The 24,213-nt window shown below is 39.9% G+C and overlaps 1 protein-coding gene, 1 long non-coding RNA gene and 1 other non-coding gene across 8 annotated transcripts in view; 1 reads left to right on the top strand and 2 right to left on the bottom strand.

Annotated features, from left to right (window-relative positions):
• The window catches only part of NAA25 (N-alpha-acetyltransferase 25, NatB auxiliary subunit), an 82,095-nt gene that overhangs the window by 9,739 nt on the left and 48,143 nt on the right, over nucleotides 1-24,213 (bottom strand). For 3 of the 6 annotated variants that reach the window (NM_024953.4, XM_006719606.3, XM_047429557.1), the window contains 10 exons: nucleotides 23,843-23,932; nucleotides 17,961-18,141; nucleotides 17,131-17,230; nucleotides 11,865-12,016; nucleotides 11,238-11,363; nucleotides 7,198-7,441; nucleotides 6,661-6,784; nucleotides 5,612-5,677; nucleotides 4,054-4,151; nucleotides 2,802-2,912 (listed from right to left, as the gene is read on the bottom strand). In NM_024953.4, coding sequence (NP_079229.2) covers nucleotides 2,802-2,912; nucleotides 4,054-4,151; nucleotides 5,612-5,677; nucleotides 6,661-6,784; nucleotides 7,198-7,441; nucleotides 11,238-11,363; nucleotides 11,865-12,016; nucleotides 17,131-17,230; nucleotides 17,961-18,141; nucleotides 23,843-23,932 — 1,292 coding nt within the window. Of the gene's footprint in view, nucleotides 1-2,801; nucleotides 2,913-4,053; nucleotides 4,152-5,611; nucleotides 5,678-6,660; nucleotides 6,785-7,197; nucleotides 7,442-11,237; nucleotides 11,364-11,864; nucleotides 12,017-13,055; nucleotides 13,185-17,130; nucleotides 17,231-17,956; nucleotides 18,142-23,842; nucleotides 23,933-24,213 lie in introns of those variants that run through there. The other 3 variants (XR_243023.5, XR_944731.4, XR_944730.4) reach the window with 3 other exon arrangements.
• MIR3657 (microRNA 3657) lies at nucleotides 1,172-1,288 on the bottom strand. The gene has a single exon (NR_037430.1). It is a non-coding gene; the product is annotated as a microRNA 3657 (primary transcript).
• Nucleotides 8,226-20,483, top strand: LOC124903022 (uncharacterized). Its single transcript, XR_007063465.1, has 2 exons — nucleotides 8,226-10,184; nucleotides 20,243-20,483. It is a non-coding gene; the product is annotated as an uncharacterized LOC124903022 (long non-coding RNA).

Genomic DNA, 24,213 nt, shown 5'->3' on the forward strand with positions numbered 1-24,213 from the left:
TGATATTTGGATGCAGGGTTCTCACTCTGAGAAAAGGAAGCTACAAAAAGGGAATGAGGGAAAGAGTGGAAAGAACTCTTGAAACTGAGAGTATCACTAAAATGCTGGCTTGAAAGTATCACTAAAAATTCTTTATGTAGGCCAGGCATGGTGACTCATGCCTGTAATCCCAGCACTTTGAGAGGCCGAGGCAGGTGGATCACCTGAGGTCAGGAGTTAGAGACCAGCCTGGGCAACATGGCAAAACCTCATCTCTACTAAAAATACAAAAACTAACTGGGAGAGCGGCATCTGCCTGTAATCCCACCTACTCAGGAGGCCGAGGGAGGAGAATCGCTTGAAACTGGAAAGTGGAGGTTGTAGTGATTGCGCCATTGCACTCCAGCCTGGGCAACAGAGCAAGACTCCATCTCAAAAAAAAAAAAAAAAGTACGTAAAACTGTGTGTGCGTGTGTGTGTGTGTGTGCACGCGCGTGTGCATAAAAACGCTGTCTAGTTCTCGTCATAGAAATAAACTAGAAGCAGTGAACCCCAATAGCAATGAGCACACTAACACCTAGATCTTGGTTTTGAAATTCATTCCCCAGAAAGGAACCAGTGCTCTTGAAAAAATGTCTGATTTCAGTTCACTGAAAAAATACCAAGTATGTGGAGCATTTATGCTGTTCCAGAAAGCGCCCTAAAACTGATGAGGACATGTTAAAGGACAGAAACCAGCTTAAAGGAGCTAGCCAAATTTGGCATAATTTGAGCATCCAAATGAAAATTATGATAATGGCTTATAATAAAGTGAACTTTTTAAAAAAGAGTCCATGGTGATACTCAGATAGCGATATTTTAAAAAATACATATATATATATATATATATATATATATATATATATATATATATATTCAAATTGGAATATATTCAAATATGTATGAATGGGTTGGGACATCTCTTATTTTACAAAATAATAGCAGCTGATAAATGATAAAAGACAGAATTTTTAAAAATCATCATTTGGGACACGTCAATGTAATAACTAATTCAGGCGCTGAACTAACAATGAATGCTAAAACCAGTGGGTGAAGGGCCATTGGGAAATAGGATATTCATAGACTCAAGCATTATCCTATAGCTTACTTATTACAGAGGGAAAAAGGCACCTTTATAAAGAAATCTGGTAGATATGTCCTTAATCATATATGAAATCTGAAATCACCAATAATGGGACACAACAACATTAATCACATTAGTGTCCCATTATTGGTGATTTCAGATTTCATTATTTAATTATGGGACACAACAACATTAGTGACTCCTGATTTAACTCACTAAAAAGGACAACATGTCTATATTTAACTTCAATATAAGCAATCAGCTTACATTTAGCAATCAGCTAAATCCAGATTGTGGGACATTCTACCAAAAAGCAAGCTAGTGTCTTCAACAATAAAAACAAAGTAAAAGGTTAAGGAAGCGTTCTAGATTAAAGAAGGGTAAACACACATGACAACTAAAGGTCATGTCAGATCCCTGACGGCATTCTAGTATTTTGAAAAAGGTATAAAAGACATAATTGAGATAAGTGGAAAACTTTGAATACTGATTTTTTTTTCCTGAGACGGAGTCTCGCTCTGTCATCCAGACTGGAGTGCAGTGGTGCTATCTTGGCTCACTGCAACCTCTGCCTCTCGGGTTCAAGCAATTCTCATACCTCAGTCTCCCAGGTAGCTGGGATTACAGATGCTCACCACCATGCCCGACTAATTTTTGTATTTTTAGTAGAGATGGGGTTTCACCATGTTGGTCAGGCTGATCTTGAACTCCTGACCTCAAGTGATCTGCCCGTCTCGGCCTCCCAAAGTGCTGGGATTACAGGTGTGAGCCACCACATCCGGCCTGAATATGGACTTTATTAGATAATATCATTGTATCAATGCTAAATTTCTTGAGTTTGAAATTTTCTTGAGTATTATGGTTTTGCAGAGACCTGTCCTTGTTCTATCCTGATGTGTTACATGTCACAAGTCTGTACTTTCCTTTTACATGGTTCAACAAATGAGAGATAAAACAAATGAGATAAATGGTTAAAAATTGATAATCCAGGTAAAGATCTTTATGGGTGTCATATTAATCTTTCAATTTTTCTGTAGGTGTATAATTTAATTTTTTTTAAGTTAGGGGAGAAAAACAACGCATATGCAGGGATGTCCAATCTTCTGGCTTCCCTGGGCCACACTGGAAGAAGAATTGTCTTGGGCCACACATAAAATACACTAATGTTGGCCAGGTGCAGTGGCTCACGCCTGTAATCTCAGCACTTTGGGAGGCCGAGGTGGGCAGATCACTTAAGGTCAGGAGTTTGAGACCAGCCTGGCCAACAGGGAGAAATCCCGTCTGTACTAAAATACAAAAATTAGCCGGGTGTGGTGGCAGGCGCCTGTAATCCCAGCTACTCGGGAAGCTGAGGCAGGAGAATCACTCGAACCCAGGGGGCAGAGGTTGCAGTGAGCCAAGATAGTGCCACTGAACTCCAGCCTGGGCTATAGAGTGAGATTCCATCTCAAACAAAAACAAAACAAAACAAAAAAAACACTAACAATAGCTGATGAGCTTTAAAAAAAAACTCAAAAAATCTCATAACGTTTTAAGAAAGTTTACGGGTTTGCGACGCATTCAAAGTCATCGTGGGCCATGGGTTGGAGAAGCTTGGCATATAGGATCCTAAGGACTCAACATGGAGGAAAACAGTGAAAAGAAAAAGTAGCATGTGGTCAGATTGTTCCTTGTATATCACTTGTGTTACTGTTATTACCATGATGATGCTGGTTTCTTTTTTCTTCTTTTTCTTTTTCTGTAAATTTAGTTTGTATGGTCGTAGGACACTCTCACAGTAACTGGATACCCAAAGGATAACAGAAATAGTCTGAAAGGAAAAATTGCAAATTCACCAATAAGGATTACACTAAAAATATCTATCAGGAAATTAGAGGCAATGGATTCAACAAATTCTAACGCAGTTCTTCTATGTAAATCCCTTCAATTTCTCATGTGAATCTCCACTCTACTTTCTGCAATCACTCTACTGATCCAGGCCTTCATCATCTCCTGCTCAGAATACTACAATGGCCTAACTCTTCAGCATTTCTTCTGGCTCTCCTAGCTCAAAATCCATCCTCCACTTCACTCCAATTTTCTGTCACTTCCCTGAAGAAGTGGGGACTGATTTAACATCCTTTTCACTCAGAGAAGAGTCCAAATTCCTAGGCATGGAATCCAAAGGTTCTTTACAATATGCCTCTCCCGTCACATCTCTCCAAGCAGGTAAGATACCACCTTACCTGCAAATCTTAACTTACATATGTATGGCAAAATCTACCCAGTTGATCAGTACATATCCTGCACTGTATCAAATTAGCTGTTTATATGTCTTCTCCTATACTACAGTGTGTGCATGTACATATATGTCCGCTTATTACTCATTCACTTAATAAAAATCTCTTAGGCACTTACAGTTTGCCAATCACCAGAACAGTGTACACTCCCCACACAGAGTAGTAAGGGGAGAACAGTCAACAAATATGTGACAGAAATAAAAGAAAAGATAATAGATTATGAGTGTTTGCAATCTTCCTTCTCTTCCCTCTGGCAAAAAAAGAGGAGGGAGTTTTGCTGTATCAGTTGCTGGACACTATCACAATGCATAATATCTTAGCAATTAATAAATGACAACAAATAAAAGAAGCTGGAGGAATTAAACTACATAATAAAGAGTGAGTCAGAAAGGAGAATGAAAACAGCTAGATTTGAGGTGAATCTGGGGAAGTTTAGAGATGAGTACAGCAAATTTCAAGAAGTTTTACCTAAGTATTATGAATGAAATCATCTTAGAATTCTTGGAAGAAATTGGTTTAGAAAATGATTTAAATTGCTTTTCAATTAACAAAAACAGGGATGGAGGGTTAAGTTACAGGTATAAGGTGCCTATTACCTGTTCACTGTTGAAAAATGAATCCTGTAGACCATTAAGAACAACAATGTCTTTTAGGAAGAGAACAAAAACTTACCTCAACAAAGAAAACTAGATTTTCTAAAAGAGTAGGATGTGTTTTCAAGTTACCATCTTTAACTTCTAAGAGGTCACCTTTACATTTACTGAAGACATCTGAAAACAAAAAACATTTTAGTTTTATTCAGCTTTTGTTTCAATGCTATTTTAAGGAACACAACACACAAATAAAGAATAAGCAAATAAAAATTTAATTTAGAAAGCTATTTGTTTTTCATTTTCCATAATGAACCAAACTCCAAAGGATAGACTATCCATTGTAAGTTCTTTAAAAAGCCATGCTGTTGCTCTATAGTCTTCAAAATATAAAAGGTAGCCTTAAAAATTATACATTCTAGTGTCTAAACACCAGCGAAGCCTTTTCAGATAGGCCATCAGCACAATAAGACTAAGACTCTAAGTGAATGATTCAGAGGACTTATGCCATTATGGACTGAAAGACCAAAAAAGTACATTGTAGAAATGCATCTTCATAACAGATAATAAATTTTATTATCATAATCTTAATCATTTTCAGACATTCTTCACCTGGACAATAAAATATAAGACCGAGCCACGCTTGGTGGTGCACGCCAGTAGTCCCAGCTACTCAGGAGGCTGAGGTAGAAGGATTGCTTCAGCCAAGGAGTTAGAGTCCATCCTGAGCAACACAACAAGACCTCATTTCTTGGGGGGAAAAAAAAAATCATTTAGGGTCCTAAAAAGACACTTTTTTTTTTTTTTGAGATGGAGTCTCGCTCTGTCGCCCAGGCTGAAGTGTAGTGGCGCTATCTCAGCTCACTGCAAGCTCCAACTCCCAGGTTCATGCCATTCTCCTGCCTCAGCCTCCCGAGTAGCTGGGACTACAGGAGCCCGCCACCACACCCGGCTAATTTTTTTGTATTTTTAGTAGAGACGGGGTTTCACCGTGTTAGCCAGGATGGTCTCAATCTCCTGACCTCGTGATCTGCCTGCCTCAGCCTCCCAAAGTGCTGGGATTACAGGCCGTGAGTCACCATGCCCGGCCAGAAAGACTCTTATAGATACAAGATGCATATATGTGCCCTTTAACAATTCTATTAAATTATTGGGAATTTAACAATTTAATAATTCTATTAAATTCTTGGGAATTTAATCCCAAGGAAGGACTCAAATAATACCCTAACAATTTGTCCCAAGATATTCATTTCAGCATCAGTAGAAGAAATAACTCATATACATAATATGTCACCAATTGCGATAACATAAAAAATGTTAATACAATACTATAGAATATTACGCAGTCTTGAAAATAAATGGGGTATATATAACTGACATGGAAAGGTATCCAAAATAACAAAAAAATTAAAGTCAAAAAAGCATGGATTACACCATTTCCTATGTTTAAAGATTACTTTTTATCTGTATTTTCATTCACACACATATGTGTTTAGGTGGCATCTAGGAGTATTGACTCCAAAGTGTTAAAACTACTTACTTATCTCTGGGTGATTGGGCTTGGGAATAGGGGAAAGAACTTCGAAGCTATTGCCATACAACCAGATACAAATACAGGAATCTACAGTAGGAAAACTTACCTTTTAACTGGTCTAGTAAAGACTTAAAACTATTTTCTATTCGTTCCTGAATCTCCATTGTATCCTCTAAAATTGAAAAACAAAAAATGAAAAACTTTCAATTCTATTTTTAGTAAGATAAAGAAGCAAGATAAATACCTGCAAGAAGTTCATGGGCAAGGACATTTTCTTCTCTCTACAGACCCTTATGCATTTTTCATTATTTTGAGACAAAAAGAAAATGATAATGAAAGGAAAAGGAAGAATAAAAAGAAAGGCACTAATTACCTTTTTGCCAGAGGTACTACCTAAAATTCCTTAAGAGAGCTTAAAATCTATGTGCTTCAAACACTCTGAATGGTAGGATCTACTAACCTTATGATTTAAAAAATAAATAAATAAAAGGAAAAGGTCTATGGAGTATTTGTGATTTTCACTAGGAGCTTACAAAAGAAATCTCTTCTCTACAAAGTTTAGTGCTTCTTATTTTTATTTTTTTTTTTTTTTGAGACAAAGTCTCGCTCTATCATCCAGGCTGGAGTGCAGTGGTGCCATCTCGGCTCACTGCAACCTCTGCTTCCCTGGTTCAAGCGATTCTCCTGCCTCAACCTCTGGAGTAGATAAGACTACAGGCGCCCGCCACCTTGCCTCGCTAATTTCTGTATTTTTAGTAGACACGGGCTTTTGCCATGTTGGCCAGGCTGGTCTCGAACTCCTGACCTCAGGTGATCCGCCTGCCTTGGCCACCCAAAGTGCTGGGATTACAGGCGTGAGCCACTGCGCCCAGCCTACTGCTTCATTTTTAAAATCCAACAGCCTTTCAACAAATGAAGAATTTCTTCAACTTTTGGACCTAACAAGTGATTTTAAATATGGAATGGACTTAAGCTTCTAAAACATTACTTTGTAACCTACGACTGTACCCTCTCATACACTACACCACACATTTGCAGAACAGCTTCCAGCTTCCATGTACTCTAAAATTTTCCAGATGTGAGGTTATAGACATTTTATTACGTGTACTACATTTTCTATGACAAAGACCCTATAAACACACAGTGTACACTTACCTAAACCACTGGTATCCAGCTCATAAATATCATTGACAAGATAAAAAGAGCTTATCTGGCACTGAGAACAGCCAGAATTAAAGAATCCACCCATTCTGGTAGGTACAGGACCAAGGAAAGGATACTGGAAAAAAGGGAGAAAAATAATGCTCTTTTAAATCCATCTAAATGCATACAAAATAAGAAAATCAGGTAACTAGTAGATAAAAACCTGTCTCAGCGGTTCAGCTAAAAGCCACTAATCAGCAAACTAATAACTGAATCATTACAGTAAAAACAGAACATTTATATTAATTTGTTGCTAGCTATTAAAAACTTAACACCACAAAAAGTTATTTTGCTTTCTCCCTCACTAGTCTGGATATTGAGGAAGCCTCTGCAATTCCCTCTGAGTCTAAAATATTCCTCTTTCTCCTGCAGAAGCCATAAACTGGGACAAAACAATTCCTTACTACTCACCCACCCCAAACTCCTGTTTATAAAACAGTCATAAATATAATTATTGCAACTTTGATGGTAAATATGTATTGATGGTACCTGAATATCCTTCTCAATAAATCGCTTTCCTGTCTCCAGGGTTGCCTCCAGCTGTTGAAGGAGCAAACGAAGAATATCAATCCGGGAGGATACCCCATTCTCGGCAGTCTTCTCCGAGTTCTTTGGCTCCACAGGGTGGTTGAGACTTGGAAGTCCACTTATCAGCCTCAATGTTAAGGATCGGATTCTTAACCACAAGGTCTCCTCCTCTAAGGAAAGTTTCTTATGTTCTTCAGAAACGTCCCTTAAACAGAAACATCCCCAAATTATCTAACTTATTCAATATTCAATCCATTGCTTTCAATTTTTTTTTTTTTTTTTGAGACAGAGTCTTGATCTGTCGCCCAGGCTGGAGTGCAGTGGCACTATCTCTGCTCACTGCAAGCTCTGCCTCCCAGGTTCATGCCATTCTCCTGCCTCAGCCTCCCAAGTAGCTGGGCCTACAGGCGCCTGCCACCACGCCCGGCTAATTTTTTTTTTGTATTTTTAGTAGAGACGGGTTTTCACCGTGTTAGCCAGGATGGTCTTGATCTCCTGACCTCGTGATCTGCCTGCCTTGGCCTCCCAAAATGCTGGGATTACAGGCGTCAGCTACCGCGCCTGGCCTCAAATCATTTAAAGTTAACTTTCACCAGTTAAGATGCCTTTGAAGGGTTCCAGCTTTCATTTACTAGCTGAATGACCTAAGACAAGCCAAAATGTTCTCAAACCCCATTTCACTATCAATAAAATGGGAATGATAACCTATTTAACAGGTCATTTTTGGCTGGGCACGGTGCCTCACACCTGTTATCCCAGCACTTTGGAAGGCCGAGGTGGGCAGATCACGAGGTCAGGAGATCGAGATCATCCTGACTAATACGGTGAAACCCCGTCTCTACTAAAAATACAAAAAATTAGCCGGGCGTGGTGGTGGGCGCCTGTAGTCCCAGCTACTCAGGAGGCTGAGACAGGAGAATGGCATGAACCAGGGAGGCGGAGCTTGCAGTGAGCCAAGATTGCACCACTGCACTCCAGCCTGGGCGACAGAGCAAGACTCCATCTCAAAACAAAACAAAACAAAACAAAACAAAAAAAACAGGTCATTTTCCTTATAAGTGACACTTTGTTCTCTGATTATAAAAATAATACATGAGGACAGGTGTGGTGGCTCACACCTGTAATCCCAGCACTTTGGGAAGCTGAGGTGAGAGACTGCTTGAGGCCAGGAGTTGGAGAACAGCCTGGTAAACATAGCAAGACCCAGTCTCTAAAAAAAAAAAAAAAAAAATACAAAAAATTGGCTGGACGTGGTGGCACACACCTGTAGTCCCAGCTACTAGGGAGGCTGAGATTGGAGGATTGCTTGAGCCCAGGAGTTCAAGGCTGCAGTGAGATATGGTCACGCCACTGTACTCCAGCCTGGGTAAGATCCTGTCTCTAATAAAAATAATACACAACATAAAAAATGCAAATGATAGAAAAATGTAAAACGTAGAAAAGGTGCCCTGATAACCAATACTCACAGTATTATCAAGTTTGGTATAGATCTTTTTAGACTTTTGTAATGTGGATGTATAAAAGTCTAACTAAAAATAGCGGGTGTGGCCCGGTGCAGTGGCTAACGCCTGTAATCCCAGCACTTCGGGAGGCCGAGGCAGGCAGATCATGAGGTCAGGAGATCGAGACCATCCTGGCTAACACAGTAAAATCCCATCTCTATTAAAAATACAAAAAAAATTAGCCGGCCGTGGTGGCACACGCCTGTAGTCCCAGCTGAGGCTAAGGCAGGAGAATTGCTTGAACCCGGGAGGCGGAGGTTGCAGTGAGCCGAGATTGCGCCACCGCACTCCAGCCTGGACGACAGAGTGAGACTCCATCACAAAAAAAAAAAAAAAAAAAAAATAGGGGCTGGTTGCGATAGCTCACACCTATAATCACAGCACTTTGAGTGGCCCAGATGGGGGGATCAACAGAGGTCATGAGTTTGAGATCAGCCTGGCCAACATGGCAAAACCCCATCTCTACTAAAAATACAAAAATTAGCCGGGCGTGGTGGCAGGGACCTGTAATCCCAGCTACTTGGGAGGCTGAGGCAGGAGAATCCCTTGAACCCAGGAGGTGGGGGTTGCAGTGAGCCGAGATCATGCGACTGCACTCTAGCCTGGGCGACAGAGACAGACTAGGTCTCAAAAATAAAAAGTAACTAAAAATAATACTTACACAACTTAACAATTTTAAACAAATTGGTTACAGTATGCAACAGAGGCTCCATCTAAAAAAAAAAGTAACTAAAAATAGTATGTATGCAACTTAAGTTTAAACAAATTGGTTACAGTAATTACATTATTTTGCAAACTTCATCTTTTTATGACAGTATGTGTAGAAAAGAGTTAACATAGCAGGCCTGCAGCTATTATCGTTAGAAAGGCCTACTTGCAAGGTTGGCCCTTGGCTGATGTCTGGGAACTTTGCACTCCAACTGTTCCCTAAAATGGTAAGAGTGACTCGCTGTGCCTAGATTGTTTATATAAACCATGTTGTTTATGGTGAATACCTGCTTTCTTTCCACTCAGGATAGACAGAGTGTACCCACATAACAATGAAACCTTAAGCACCAAGTCTCTACTGGGTTTCCCTGAGCAGGAACATTCCACCTGTGTTACTGCATTTTTCCCTGCTGGAGAAAGGAGCATACTCAGTGTTTCCCCTCAGAGGAGGGAGAAAGCACTGGAAGTCTGAGTTCTCCCGACTGTGCCTGTTCCTTTTTCCCTTCCGGATTCTGTCATGTGTCCTTTCACTGTAATAAACCTTAGCCGTTGAGTGCAACTATATGCTCAGCCCTGTGAATCCTTCTGGGACTCAACAATCCTAAATCACTGAATGTGGCCTTGGCAACCCACAAATCACAGAATTTTCAGAACTACCTCATATACACTTCTTAGCATGTTTCTGCATTTATTTCCTTAGGTTCTACTTTCCTAGAAGCAGATCTGCCAAATTAAATGGTATGTGGCATTTTAAATCTTGATACATATCACTACAACTCCCTATAGGAAGACTGTATAAAATTTATCCCTGTGTAAATGCATAATAAGTATTTACCACACAGCCTTGCTGACCACAAGTATTCATCTTTTTTGCTAGAAACAAAATCTTTATTGCTGTAAGATGTGTTTCTTTGCCCAATTTCTTATTTTCTTATTGACTTATTAAGAGTTCTCTCTATATATGAAGGATACTTGTATGAAGAAATTTACTACAAACCTTTAGAACTTAACAAATTTATTATTTCTATTTACAGAAGTTAAATCCTTTATGTTTCCAGATTTGGTATAATACTAGGAAAGGCTTTCCTCACCTATTTAAAAATATTTTCTATATTTTCTTCTAGAATTTCTAAGGAATCTAGAATTTAGCATACAGTCTTTAATCGATCTGGAATTCTCATATATGCTGTGAAGTAGATCTAACTTTTAGATTAACCAGCAGTCCCAGCATAGGGGTGAGCTATACTTTCTTCATTTGGCTTACCTATATTTTCTGATCCCTACAACAAACACATGTTATTTTATATTTGTGTAAAGTGAAGTTTGTTTTTTTTAATTTTAGATTCATCCTAATTCTTTTTTTTTTTTTTTTTTGGAGATGGAGTTTTGCTCTTGTTGCCCAGGCTGGAGTGTAATGGTGCGATCTCAGCTCACTGCAACCTCCGCTCCCTGGGTTCAAACAATTCTCCTGCCTCAGCTTCCCGAATAGCTGGGATTACAGGCACACGCCACCACGCCCAGGTAATTTTTGTATTTTTAGTAGAGATAGGGTTTCACCATGTTGGCCAGGATGGTCTCGAACTCCAGACCTCAAGTGATCCACCGGCCTCGGCCTCCCAAAGTGCTGCAATTACAGGCCTGAGCCACCGTGCCCAGCCCAACCTAATTCTTTAAAAATAAACTGCTTCACCCAGGAGTTCGAAGCTGCAGTGAGCTATGATCTTGGTCTCTTTAAAAAAACAAAAAACAAACAAAAACTTTAAAAATTGCTTGGGGTTAAATTCCAGTTACCTGTCTTTTGGATCCCAGCTGAAAAAAACATTTAAGTCTCTGTTGTCTCGCAAATCTTCCCATGGAATGTCATCTTCTTCTGGCCTAAGGTTCATTGACTTTATACTTTCTGCTAAACTGGTTGATCTGTGATAGAGAAAAATCCACATATTATTTTAATAGTAAAATAGCCAGAAAATATTATTAATCAGGACTTCCTGTTTTACTAGACAGGAAGGGAAAGAGGAAGGAAGGGCTCATAATAAGGTGAAATAGAACCAAGCGCAGATCAAACTGGCTTGCTACATGGCAAGAAAAAGGCTTCTGGAAGCCCACACAAAACAAAGGGGATCAGCATTAATTCCTGAAATCTCTTGATTTGTAGGGGAGGCGGAACCTTCGTAAGCACAATATGGACCAGGCATTGATGACCATGACCTAAATGGCTTCTGTAATGGTCTCAAGATGTTGCTGGCAGTACTCTACCATTCCCCATGACATGTGCCAAGTTCTGTTTCCCCACTGTCTCTCTCCCTTTTTTCCCCCTATTTTACCTTAAGCCTGCCAATAACACCCATGAGCCCATTAATGGCTCTTAACAACTGATCTAATCCCTTAGTTCCTTTATAGCTCTCATGCAATACTTACATATTTGCTTCAAGTAGAAGGTCTAACAGCATCCGTTCAGTACGGACTTGTGCAAAATGAAGAGAATTATTCAGCCTGTTCCTAAAAGCGATAAACTCTGGGATCTTCTCAAATGCACCATATTTGTAAGCTTGAATAATATATTCTGAGGTCTGAGAAGGAAAGACATCACCTTGGTATAAATAGTTCACAAGTCAGGCAATGTAAGCAAACCTTGCCAGCCAAAACAAAACACTCAAACTAAAATTAAGTTTTAAATCTAATCTTTAAAGGTCTTGGTCACCAAGTAGAATATTAGCTTTTTAAAATGTTTTTCTTCCTTCTTATACTTTAGACAAATGTCTCCTTTACTAATATTACTAATTGTAATAACCAGCTTCTGCCACCATCACATAAGCCTTCTCTTGGCAGTCATGTCTTTCAATTCAATAGGAACTGAGGTTTTGTTTTGCCACATCAGTCAAAAATTTGGTTAGTGCCATTCTGGAAGGGATGTTACTCCATGTTTTTCTGCATCTAAGATAAACTGTGTTTCATACAAAGGTTCCAAAAGCACCAGAATAATAGAACCACCTGCCCCCCGCCCCCCCAAATAAAAACCACTCTCCTTCAGAAAAAGACAGGCTGCTCCTTGGTTTTGCTTATTTCTGAATACTGTATTAGAAACACAGGGCATATGAGCATTACGTCAGGATAGAAGTAAGACACCAAACAAAAGACCTATCAAAATTCATGTCATAATCTATTCTGAGGACAAAGACTTCAAGAACCAAGTTTCTTGTCCATCTACATTACGTAAGACCTCTGCTGGAAATTTCCTTAAACAAGTATGTGAAGGGAACATTCACCACATGTGCTTTAATTGTAGCTTAATACATATACAGAGATCAAACATTACAGAACAGAGGCAAGATAAAGAATTCTAAGCAGAAATTCTGGCACAATAGAAGAAAATCTCAGGGAAGAACATTTCATGGGTGTGGGTCTATGCCATCAGGATCAGAAGACAGGAGATTACCCCTTTGGGCCAAGGAAACTATTATGCTCAAAGCTGATGTCTGCCCCCAAAAAAGATCCTTTCTAGAAAAAACAGTCTTTTTACACAGCCTCAGTTAATCAGCTCTGCCCCCATCTCCATTACGTCTGAATAATTTGCCCAGTAGGAAAATAGGCCAATAGTCAACAACATACCCTCTGATATACAGCCTTGCAGGGTTCATTTCAGGCCGCGGGATTGCGCCACGGGCGCTAATTCAACTGCATTCGATGCGGCTTTTAAACCCCCATGGGACACCTCGGCGAGCTGTTTGCCTGCAGTATCTGGAGAAATTAAAGACGGACGGACACAAGAAAATTAAAAAGATTACTTGTGATCCTGCAGGTTTCAAGAAGGACTACCTGAAAAAGCTCGAGTATACCTTCTAGCTTGATTAAAGGACAGTGATACACCCTATCAAGAGGAGGCCAGGATACTCTAAACACATATGCCTATCCTATGGCCCCTTGGCTTAGAAAACACAGCAAGGTTTACTACTATTAGCCCTTGTAATAGGAACTTACAGCTGGGGAAAAAAAAACAGCTGGTTAGGAACACATGATTCAGTAATTAATCAAAAAGAAAATATGACTTTAGTAATTCCAATCAAAGTTATAATTACAGTTCCAAAGTATGCTATGATTTAAGGAGGGAACCCAGCCTTACCAAGTGTAGAGGCAGTTTTAATTTCTAAGTGGTCCGTGGAACACCACTTTATTTAAAAAAAAAAAAAAAAAAGGCAATAGCTTTTCAAAGAGAAAAATAAGGGGCAACAAAGAGAGTATAGTCTTTAACAAACTAAGAAGGTAGTCACAGTTCTCTGGCTTATCTTTTTTAGATAGTCCTTCTGTAACACTGCAGTAAAGTACCACTGCAGAGCTAGACAAGGGCCTGGGATGCAACCACTAGGACCAAGGCTGTGGAAGTAGTACTACGTGAAGAAACAACCCCCTACTGGAACTGCAGGCAAAACTGAAAGCCACAGGCACTTTAAAGACTTTTGAATATCAAAGTATGTTGTCCGTACCTATTTTCTACTCATTTATGCACCAATGAGGCTATTTAGATCCCGAATGGATTCCTGAAATGAACCCTGGTCACTGTAAAAATTAGTGAAATATATGGACATAAAACCCCTGAATAATGACCTTTGTGAATACCTAGAGATTATATTTTCTTTTATTTACTTTTTTTTTTTTTTGAGACAGAGTCTCACTCTGTCATCCAAGAGTGACAGCTGGAGTGCAGTGGTATGATCTCAGCTCACTGCAACCTCCACCTCCCAGATTCAAGCAAGTCTCCTGACTCAGCCTCCCAAGTAGCTGGAATTACAGGCGCTCGCCAACACACCCAGATAATTTTTGTATAAAATAGAGATTTTAAAGGGAAATTTTTAAGAAGTAAAAACACGTAAGTGACTTTTAAAGATATGAAAATCTAGTGCTTATTTTCATATTTTTAAAAATCTATTCCAAAGTAAGATGACAACAGAAAATAACCTTTCTAGAAAGAAAATCCCTATGCAGACCTTCCAAATACAACTTTCAATCCCATAGCACAAAACATTACTAAGCAAAACACTAGATTTTCCATTTAAGTAAAAGTGTCCTGTCAAAGAGCTAGGTGGGAATTGAAATGCATCAGTCACCCAAGGAAAAAGCATCCGGGGATCCCAAAAACTACCAAGAATAAAAGATGCATAGTATAGAGCTCTGGATTTGAAGAGAGATATTTCTGATACTCTAAGCACAAGGTTGAACACACACAGTAAGACACTACAATCATAATCTTTCTTAGCCTTAGATTTCTTTAGGAAACAGTTCACACCACAGTCTCTATCTGGCACTCAACATTAAGGTCAAGCTACATGTTCCTAGCTGTACCATATTTTTCTTTTTTGGTGGGGGGACAGAGTCTCTCTCGTCACCCAGGCTGGAGTATAATGGTACAATCAGCTCACTGCAACCTCCACCTCCCGGGTCAAGCAATTCTCCTGCCTCAGCCTGCCGAGTAGCTGGGATTACAGGCACCTACCACCATGCCTGGCTAATTTTTGTATTTTTAGTAGAGATGGGGTTTCACCACGTTGGCCAGGCTGGTCTTGAACTCCTGACCTCAGGTGATCCACCCACCTCGGCCTCCCAGTGCTTGGATTACAAGCGTGAGCCACTGTGCCCAGCCTGTACTGTATTTTTCTTTTGCCTCTAGGACTCTTCAAGATTATCTCCTGTCAGCAGATTTAATAAGCTCTATCTTCTTAGCGGTAATCAAAATATATTTCAAGTGTCCTAGTCTCTGATCAATAAAATGCTATAATTTTATCAGGTTCAACATCACATACATTCAGATGAATTAGTCACTTTTGCCACACACAACCATCAGCAAAACATAAAACAAAGATACAAAAAAAACTCTGAGGATGACACATCCCCTCAAATTGCTCCTAGGGGTCTCCTTTGCCTATATTGCAACACTTTTGTAATTTTATTTTTAGATTTTCTTTCAAAACAACTCTTCAGACACAATATTTGTGGGAAAAAATTAAAGCCTAATTCTGATGTATATAAAGTAATGTGTCTTTATTGACCACATCTTCATGAGTAATACAGTTCTTCTAGAATGCTGCATGATTGAAAGCTAGAGGAAAACCAGCCACCGGGCTGGAATTAATCCCTGATTTACTCCCACTACCTCAAAGCTATTTGAGAAACAAACCTTTGAAAAGGAATCTTCAGTAAATCAAATGTTTCTTTCATCTCTCTTATAAATACAGAAATGAGGCCATAAATAATGAGATGAGGAAACCAATCCTTTTGATTTTTTTTTTGAGTTAGTGAAACCTCTTGAAAACAGGAGGGCAAGTACAGATACTTGAACACACAATGAAAATTCATAGGTTTATAGCTCATCCATGCTAGGTTTTAGAAACCCAACATCCTAGAGATGACCTTCTGACCTCTAAGCCAGGCCAGCACACCTTCTGAGTAACATGCTCAGATGCTGATACTCATTTTCCTCTCTCCCTGATCAGATGCTGTGCCACAAAATGAGGTCTGAACGGAGATACCAATCACTGCAGAGGTTAAGGGGGCCACTTTGGGGAGGGGATACAGGACTAAGAACCAACTAATGGTACACAGCTCATTATCTAAGCACAAGAGGCTGCTTTCCACCTGCTTAGAGCTGTCCTTTGCTACTCCAGCCCTCTAGGCCATTCCCTAAAACTTGTCAGAATGTAATTATCATAAACTGAGAACAAACCTATATCCCATGTTCAGAAATGCTTCTATTTAATACAATACACCCTTAAAGAATTAGATGGAAGATAGATTAGTCATCCTGTTACAGTAAAACAAAAGGGTTTAAAAAAAATCCTCACGAGTGTTTGCCAAGAAGAACCCCAGAAACTAGCTTCCTTGCTAGTTCCTTAATTGCTGGTAGACCATGAGAATGGAAAGCTATGGGCAGATAGCTGGCACAGCCAACTTCAGGCGATGAGGCTTAGAAGTCTGTGAAAACCAAGTAGGCAGTGACCACCCTGGAGACATTCCTTTTCTTCACATTCATTGTTGGGCAGTTTTTTATAATTGGTCAACTGAGTACAGACCGTATGGTTTTCCTACAAAAACCTCGGCTTAACCAACAAGTAGAGCCCAAGTCTGCTTGCAGTGAAAAATATGGTGCAAATCCCATCCTTTCATTATGGCACAGAGAAGCTCTATTTATTGCTACTTTAAAAAACATATTATTCACCTAGGTTTCTCGGAATGCCTTTTAATTTTCTAAGAAAATACAAGTACATTCACCTTTGGCAAAGAGCACAATGGACATACATTTCAGAGTTAAATAAAAGTAACAGAGAGCAGCTGCTATTGCAGGATGTTACACGGCATCCCAGGCTATGAACGCTTATGGACTGTTTCTTATACCCTTGGAAAAGTCTCTTAGAGATTAAAAGCCAGGTCTAAGAGGACTAACACTTCCTAGTCAGTAAATACCAGTTTTTAAATGCAACTTTCCAAGGATTCTATTAAACACGCCCATTCTAACAAACACAAATAACTCTCTACCTCTCCCTACCAGCCTTGGACAGTAAGCTTTGGTCTAAGGGCACTTGCTAGTTCAGCATGGTGCACCTTAACATGTGTACTTGTGACATGTGGTGACGTGCTCCTCAATAGTGTGCAGTCAGCAGACAAGATCACAGTTAAAAAATAGTTTTTCACTTACATCTTTCTGGTTGGAGTGAAAAAACCTGAGTGCGAAGTTACAGGATTGGGACGCAGCAGCATACTGACCTAGAGATTCAGCATATCGGGTCAAAAGATAACTAGATCAGAAGGAAAGAAGGAAAAAAAAAGACATGTTATACTTACTTACCTAGCTCAAGTAACAAATATTACGCTTCAAATTACTTGGCAAAAAAATAGCTAGGCATAAGAAAACACTAAAACATACTCCCACAGAAATGATCTAATTCACCAGTTAAAATTTAAAAAAAAAAAAAAAAAAAAGCCAAAAGTTAACTCAGTTTTGTGGGAGACCTAAAGTTCTGTAACTAGGCTTTCTTACACTCTGATGATTAATGACACATAAAAGTTCTAACAGAACATAATGCTGTCTTCCTAAAACAGCACCACAAACAGAGAAAATGCCATTAAGTGATACTAGCATAATAATAAAGAGTAGTCTAAATACAAGTTCAAAATACAAATTCAAACTTTGTTGAGGTCAATAAATAAATTACATGTGTCAACTTCAACTGCAAAGCGGAAATGAACACTTCAAAATAATGTGTGCTAAGAATAAGGGTTCAAAGTATATAGGTGTTTGCTATCTCTGGGGAAAACTCTCTTACATTTCTAAATTGTGCAAATTTTCAAATTACCACAAAATGCTGGGAGATATAAAAATCTTTCTGGTTTGCAATGGATCATAACAGGTTATTATTTAATCAGAAAGGCTTAATGTCACAATCAACTTTAAAATCTAAGTTAGAGTCCTGTGTACCCCACACTGGTATAGCTGGCTGCTCATTATTCAGAGTATATACTACCAACCCAATGGTATCATGCTGGATATGCTTAGCATCGAGGCTGGAGTAAAGATCCACCACTGGTTCAAATGCACCCAGCATACAGTAGATTCGAACAAGCAGCAATTTGAACTGAGCATTGGAAGGGCTATGGGTTAATCCCTCTTCCAGCAAAGTCAGGGCCTGCCACACAGTGGTCTCATCACCTAGAACCAAAATACAGCATTATCCACTGATCTTGACAGCAAATGAAAGCTTCCCAAAAACAAAAAACAAAACCTTATTGACATCATCACCCCCCCCAATAAATGAAGTTAAATGACAGAGAACAAATTTTAGATATACACCTGTAACCAAAATAGAGAATTTCGCCTCAACAGAGAGTCCTTCAATAGTTAAGTCTATTCTTAAACATGCCCACAGCAAAAACGATGCAGATTTTAAGTGGCCAGGTCTTGTGGGGGGATGTTATAGAATCTCACAGAATCTCAGATTCTGGGAAGAGATGGACTTTGAAGGAAAACTGGAGCTCAGCACCTTGCCCCTGCAGGATTTCCTCTATAAAACCCCAGACAGATGTTATCTATAGACATCATTTTTCTTCCATATGTAACTCTACTAACAGAATGGCAAATAGGATGTTTGAAAATATTTACTCAATAATCAAACTAAAATGATACTTTTTTTGGGTCTATGAAATTTCAAAAGGTACATGTATCTCTAGTCTTCAAGATTAAGTTACTTATTCTTTAGGATCCATCTAAAGAAAATACTATGAAATACAGATAAAGCTTTATATACAAAAATAGTTATCGTACTATCTAGTGATGTAATGATGGGAGGATGAGTAGGTAAATTATGGTAACTTCGACACATGGAAATGTCATATAACTACTTGACGTTAATGAAGAGTTTTTAATTACAAAGGAAAATGTGCAATAATGTTCAGTAAAACACACACACAGAAAATTCAAGTTAGTACAAAGAGTTGATCTCAACTCTTAAAATATGCACAAAGAGAGAGAGAAGAAGAAAACAAACAAAAATGTTAGCTGGACATGGTGGCTCATGCCTATACTCCCAGCACTTTGGGAAGCTGAGGTGGGAGGATCACTTGAGCCCACAAGTTTGAGACCAGCCTGAACAACATAGCTAGACCTCGTCTCTACTAAAAACATTTTTGAAAAAATTAACCAGATGTGGTGGTGCACACTGCCTATGGTTCCAGCTACTCAGGAGGGCTGAGGTTGGGAGGATTGCTTCAGCCTAGGAGGTTGAGGCTGCAGTGAGCTGTGATCATGCCACTGCACTCCAACCTTGGCAGCAGAGTGCAACTTTGTCTCAAGAATAGAAAAGGAAAAAAAAAAAGAAAAAAAAATGCAAAAGTGATAAGAGTGCTTTTGAGGTCCAAAAAAGTGAGATTTTAAGTAAACTACTTTCCAAAATTTATACAAGCTACTTTTACAGTCAGTAACAACAGCAAAAATGAAAGCACCATGCAGTAAGATTTTAAGGTAATATTCTATATGCTGTTTTCCAGAAGAAAAGAAAGATAGGCCGGGCATAGTAGCTCATGCCTGTAATCCCAGCAGTTTGGGAGGACAAGGCAGGGAGATGGCTTGAGCCCAGGACTTTGAGACCAGCCTGGGAAACATGGCAAAACCCCAACTATACAAAAAATACAAAAACTGGCTGGGCACAGTGGCTCACACCTGTAATCCCAGCACTCTGGGAGGCCAGGGAAGCGGATCACCTCAGGTCAGGAATTCGAGACCAGCCTGGCCAACATGGTAAAACCTCTTCTCTACTAAAAATACAAAAATTAGCCGGGCGTGGTGGCGGGTGCCTATAATTCCAGCTACTCAGGAGGCTGAGGCAGAAGAATTGCTTGAACCCAGGAGACAGAGGTTGCAGTAAGCCGAGATTGCACCACTGCACTCCAGCCTGGGACGGAGTTAAGATTCCATCTCAAAATAAAAATAAAATTTAATAATAAATAAAAAATTTAAAAAAATTTAAAATTAACTAAATAAATAATACAAAAACTAGCCAGGCATGGTGGCATGTGCCTATACTCCCAGTTACCCAGGAGGCTGAAGTGGGAGGATCCCTTGAGCCCAGGAGGTTGAGGCTACAGAGAGCTACTATGGTGCCACTGCACTCTAGCCTGGATGACAGTGTCTCAAAATAAAAAAATAGCCTTTCAGAAAAAATATTTGAGAGCACCAACTTCCTAAAACACTCAATCCTTTTGAATTTAAATCAATCTCTTTAAATGCCCTCATCAACTTTCTATTGATTTCTAAGTTCTGCCAGGTGCACCTTGAACAATGATTATGACTGTGACTGGAGTACTTCAACATCCCTATCACTGACTTCAAGAAGCCCTGCATCTTCACAAGATCTACAATTTCATTTTGCAAATGATTCCCATGTATTTGTCTGCACTGCAGGATTTTGGACAATTTACCTTTTTTCTCTCTGCCCTCCATTTCTCTCACCTATAAAACTGTGACAATAACTGTATTATTAAAATGTTTAAATCGGCTGGGTGTGGTGGCTCACGCCTGAAATCCCAGCACTTTGGGAGGCTGAGGCGGGCGGATCACGAGGTCAGGAGTTCAAGACCAACCTGACCAACATGGTAAAACCCCGTCTCTACTAAAAATACAAAAATTAGCCAGGCGTGGTGGTGCGCGCCTGTAATCCCAGCTAGTCAGGAGGCTGAGGCAGGAGAATCGCTTGAACTTGGGACGCAGAGGTTGCAGTGAGCCAAGATCGCACCAATGCACTCCAGCCCTGGCAACAGAGCGAGACTCCATCTCAAAAAAGTAAAATAAGATAAAATAAAATAACATAAAATAAAATAAAATAAAATAGTTTAATTTGTGTAAAGTACTTTCACATGCCTAATAATCAACTGTCAGTTGTTACTATTATCATATGGCCACATATATTGCTCAAAATATTAATATAAGAGACTAGCAAAGCCATAGTCACTATTGGTGAGAACGGATGTTAGGCATCAGTAAGAAAGCCTATCTGTGTGGGGATCAAATTACTACATGATCAGTTCATTAATGTTTTCATGTTAAAATGACTTTTGCTACCCTATGCAGCCTCATGAATCTAGGGGCTCAAATAACAAGTTCTCTGATGACAAGGATTTCACTCTCATCCCTGGTACAATATAGTGTCAGAAGTATTACTGGCCAGGTGCAGTAGCTCATGCCTGTAATCCCAGCATTTTGGGAGGCCAAGGCAGACAGATCACCTGAGGTCAGGAGTTTGAGACCAGCCTGACTAACATGGTGAAACCCCATCCCTACTAAAAATACAAAAATTAGGCCGGGCGCAGTGGCTCACGCCTATAATCCCAGCACTTTGGGAGGCCGAGGTGGGTGGATCACGAGGTCAAGAGATCCTGGCCAACATGGTGAAACCCTGTCTCTCCTAAAAATACAAAAAATTAGCCAGGTGTGGTGGTGGGCGCCTGTAGTCCCAGCTACCTGGGAGGCTGAGGCAGGAGAATCACTTGAACCTGGGAGGCAGAGGTTGCAGTGAGCCAAGATTGTGCCATTGCACTCCAGTCTGGCGACAGAGCGAGACTTTGTCTCAAAAAAAACCCACAAAAGTTAGCTAGGCATAGTGGCACGTGCCTGTAATCACAGCTACTCGGGCAGCTGAGACAGGAGAATCGCTTGAACCTGGAAGGAGGATGTTGCAGTGAGCCACGATTGTGCCATTACACTCCAGCCTGGGCAATAGAGCGAGACTCCATCCCAAAACAAACTAAAAAAAAAAAAACACTACCATATGGTTACATACAATGTCCTACAGAAGTTCAGAGGAGCATAAAATCCCCAGTGGGGAAGGAGTTAAAATCAAGACAGGCTTTGTTAAAGGCACCATTTGAGTAAAACTTAGATGAGGGAGGTAAGAAAGTTATTTCAAAGAGAGGCAACATGATGTTAAGTGATAGTAGCAAAAAAATTTTAAAGTAGATTCAAGACCATAAATACCTAAGAATCTGGAGATGTGGGCACAGGCCAGATTATAAACAGCATTATAAACTATCCCAAAACACTTGACTTTTATCCTCAGGAAAACAGGGTACCTCTGAAGGATTTTTTTTCTTTTTAAATTTTTTAGAGACAGGGTCCTGCTCTGTCACCCAGGCTGGAGTGTAATGGTGTGATCATAGCTCACTGCAGCCTTGAACTACTGGGCTCAAGCCTTGGCTTCCTGAGGTCTGAAGGATTTTAAGAATGGCATGATAAGGCTGGGTGCAGTGGCTCACGCCTGAATCCCAGCACTTTGGGAGGCCGCGGCGGGTGGATCACCTGAGGTCAGGAGTTCGAGACCAGCCTGGCCAACAAGGCAAAACCTTGTCTCTACTAAAAACACAAAAACTGGTCAGGCGCAGTGGCTCACACCTGTAATCCTAGCACTTTGGGAGGCCGAGGCGGGCAGATAACGAGGTCAGGTAATCGAGACCATCCTGGCTAACACAGTGAAACCCCATCTCTACTAAAAATACAAAAAATTAGCCAGGCATGGTGGCGGGCACCTGTAGTCCCAGCTACTCGTAGTCCCAGCTACTCGGGAGGCTGAGGCAGGAGAATGGCGTGAACCTGGGAGGAGGATATTGCAGTGAGCTGAGATTGCACCACTGTACTCCAGTCTGGGCGACAGAGCGAGACTCCATCTCACAAAAAAAAAAAAAAAAAAAAAAAAAAAAAAAAAAAAAAAAAAAAAAAACTAGCTGGGCTTGGTGGCATGTGCCTGTAAACCCATCTACTCTGAGGCTAAGGCATGAGAATCGCTTGAACCCAGGAGGCGGAGGTTGCAGTGAGCTGAGATCACGCCACTGCACTCGAGCCTGGGCAACAAGAACAAGACTCCATCTCAAAAAAAACAAAACTGAGTGCTCTGTGAAATGATCCATGAGGGCAGGGGTTGTGTTTATCTTGCTTACCACTGTCTCTTCAGCCCTTTGTTTCTTCTATAGTTCAATTCTCATGAATAATATGCCATAAGCACCTAAAGTTATTTATTCTCCAAAACTGCTAATAAGAGAAAATGTCAGGGGGTGGGACCTAAAGAAAAGGCAATCCCAGTACCATTTGCTGAATCATCCTTCTCTTCCTCAATCACTCATGATGCTTCCTTTACCATGTCTTATATTTTTATCTTAAATGAGACAAACTATATTCCAGAAAGAATGCATTTTTCTGTATATAAAATTTTTTGAAGTGAATAAAAGATATTCTGTTCCATAGGCCTGTGCATGTATTTTTTAGTCAGTTTCATTGTATTTTAATTTTTGTAGCTTTGTCATAGTATTTTTTTATAGTCATTACTTATTATTCACAAACACTTAAAAACAGAACAGATATCCATTCATTTAACATTATCCTGGTTACAAGGGGATAAACTGGAGACAGGTTTTTTTTTTTTTTTGAGACGGAGTCTTGCTCTGTTGCCCAGGCTGAAGTGCAGTGGCATGATCACAGCTCACTGCAACCTCCGCCTCCCAAGCTCAAGCAATTCTCCTGCCTCAGCCTCCCAAGTAGCTGGGACTACAGGCATGCGCCCAAATGCCCAGCTAATTTTTATATTTTTAGTAGAGACGAAGTTTTTTGCATTTTGGCCAGGCTAATCTCGAACTCCTGACCTCAGGTGATCCACCCGCCTCAGCCTCCCAAAGTGCTAGGATTACAGGCATGAGCCATCGCACCTGGCCAAGACAGGTTTTTCTGGAAGCACCCTAGAAATATCAAGAAAAGCAGAACCTAAAAGCATAAATAAAATTTGTGGATTGTAAAATTAGTCTAATGAAAGAATGCAGTACTTATAATCAATAAAAGCAAAAAGTAAAGTTGAACTGAAATCACTGCTACTTACCTGTTTCCCTCCATACATCAATAAGCGCATGGACAGCAAGGAGACAGTAATAGTCAGAAAATTGCAATTCTGTTTTCAAACAGGTTTTCCCTATGGGGGAAAAAAATCATATCTATTTTAACATTTGTTCAACTATTACTGACCCCAAAGGAGTTTTTAAAAGCAGGAAAGTGACAGGAGGGAGAGGAGGAAAAGTAAAAGAAAATTAAGAATAAGATAAGTACCAGGAGAAAAATATAAGCCACGATTCAAAGGGTTCAAAAGAAGGTGAGACCACACTCAGCTGGAACAGAAGGTAGGGTTCCAGAGCAGAGGTGGTATCCATGATGGTCCCAAAGGGAGAGAAGGAAGATTTGAAGGAGGTTGAGGTG

The sequence above is a fragment of the Homo sapiens genome, chromosome 12 (assembly GCF_000001405.40).
Source record: "Homo sapiens chromosome 12, GRCh38.p14 Primary Assembly".
Classification (NCBI taxonomy): domain Eukaryota; kingdom Metazoa; phylum Chordata; class Mammalia; order Primates; family Hominidae; genus Homo; species Homo sapiens.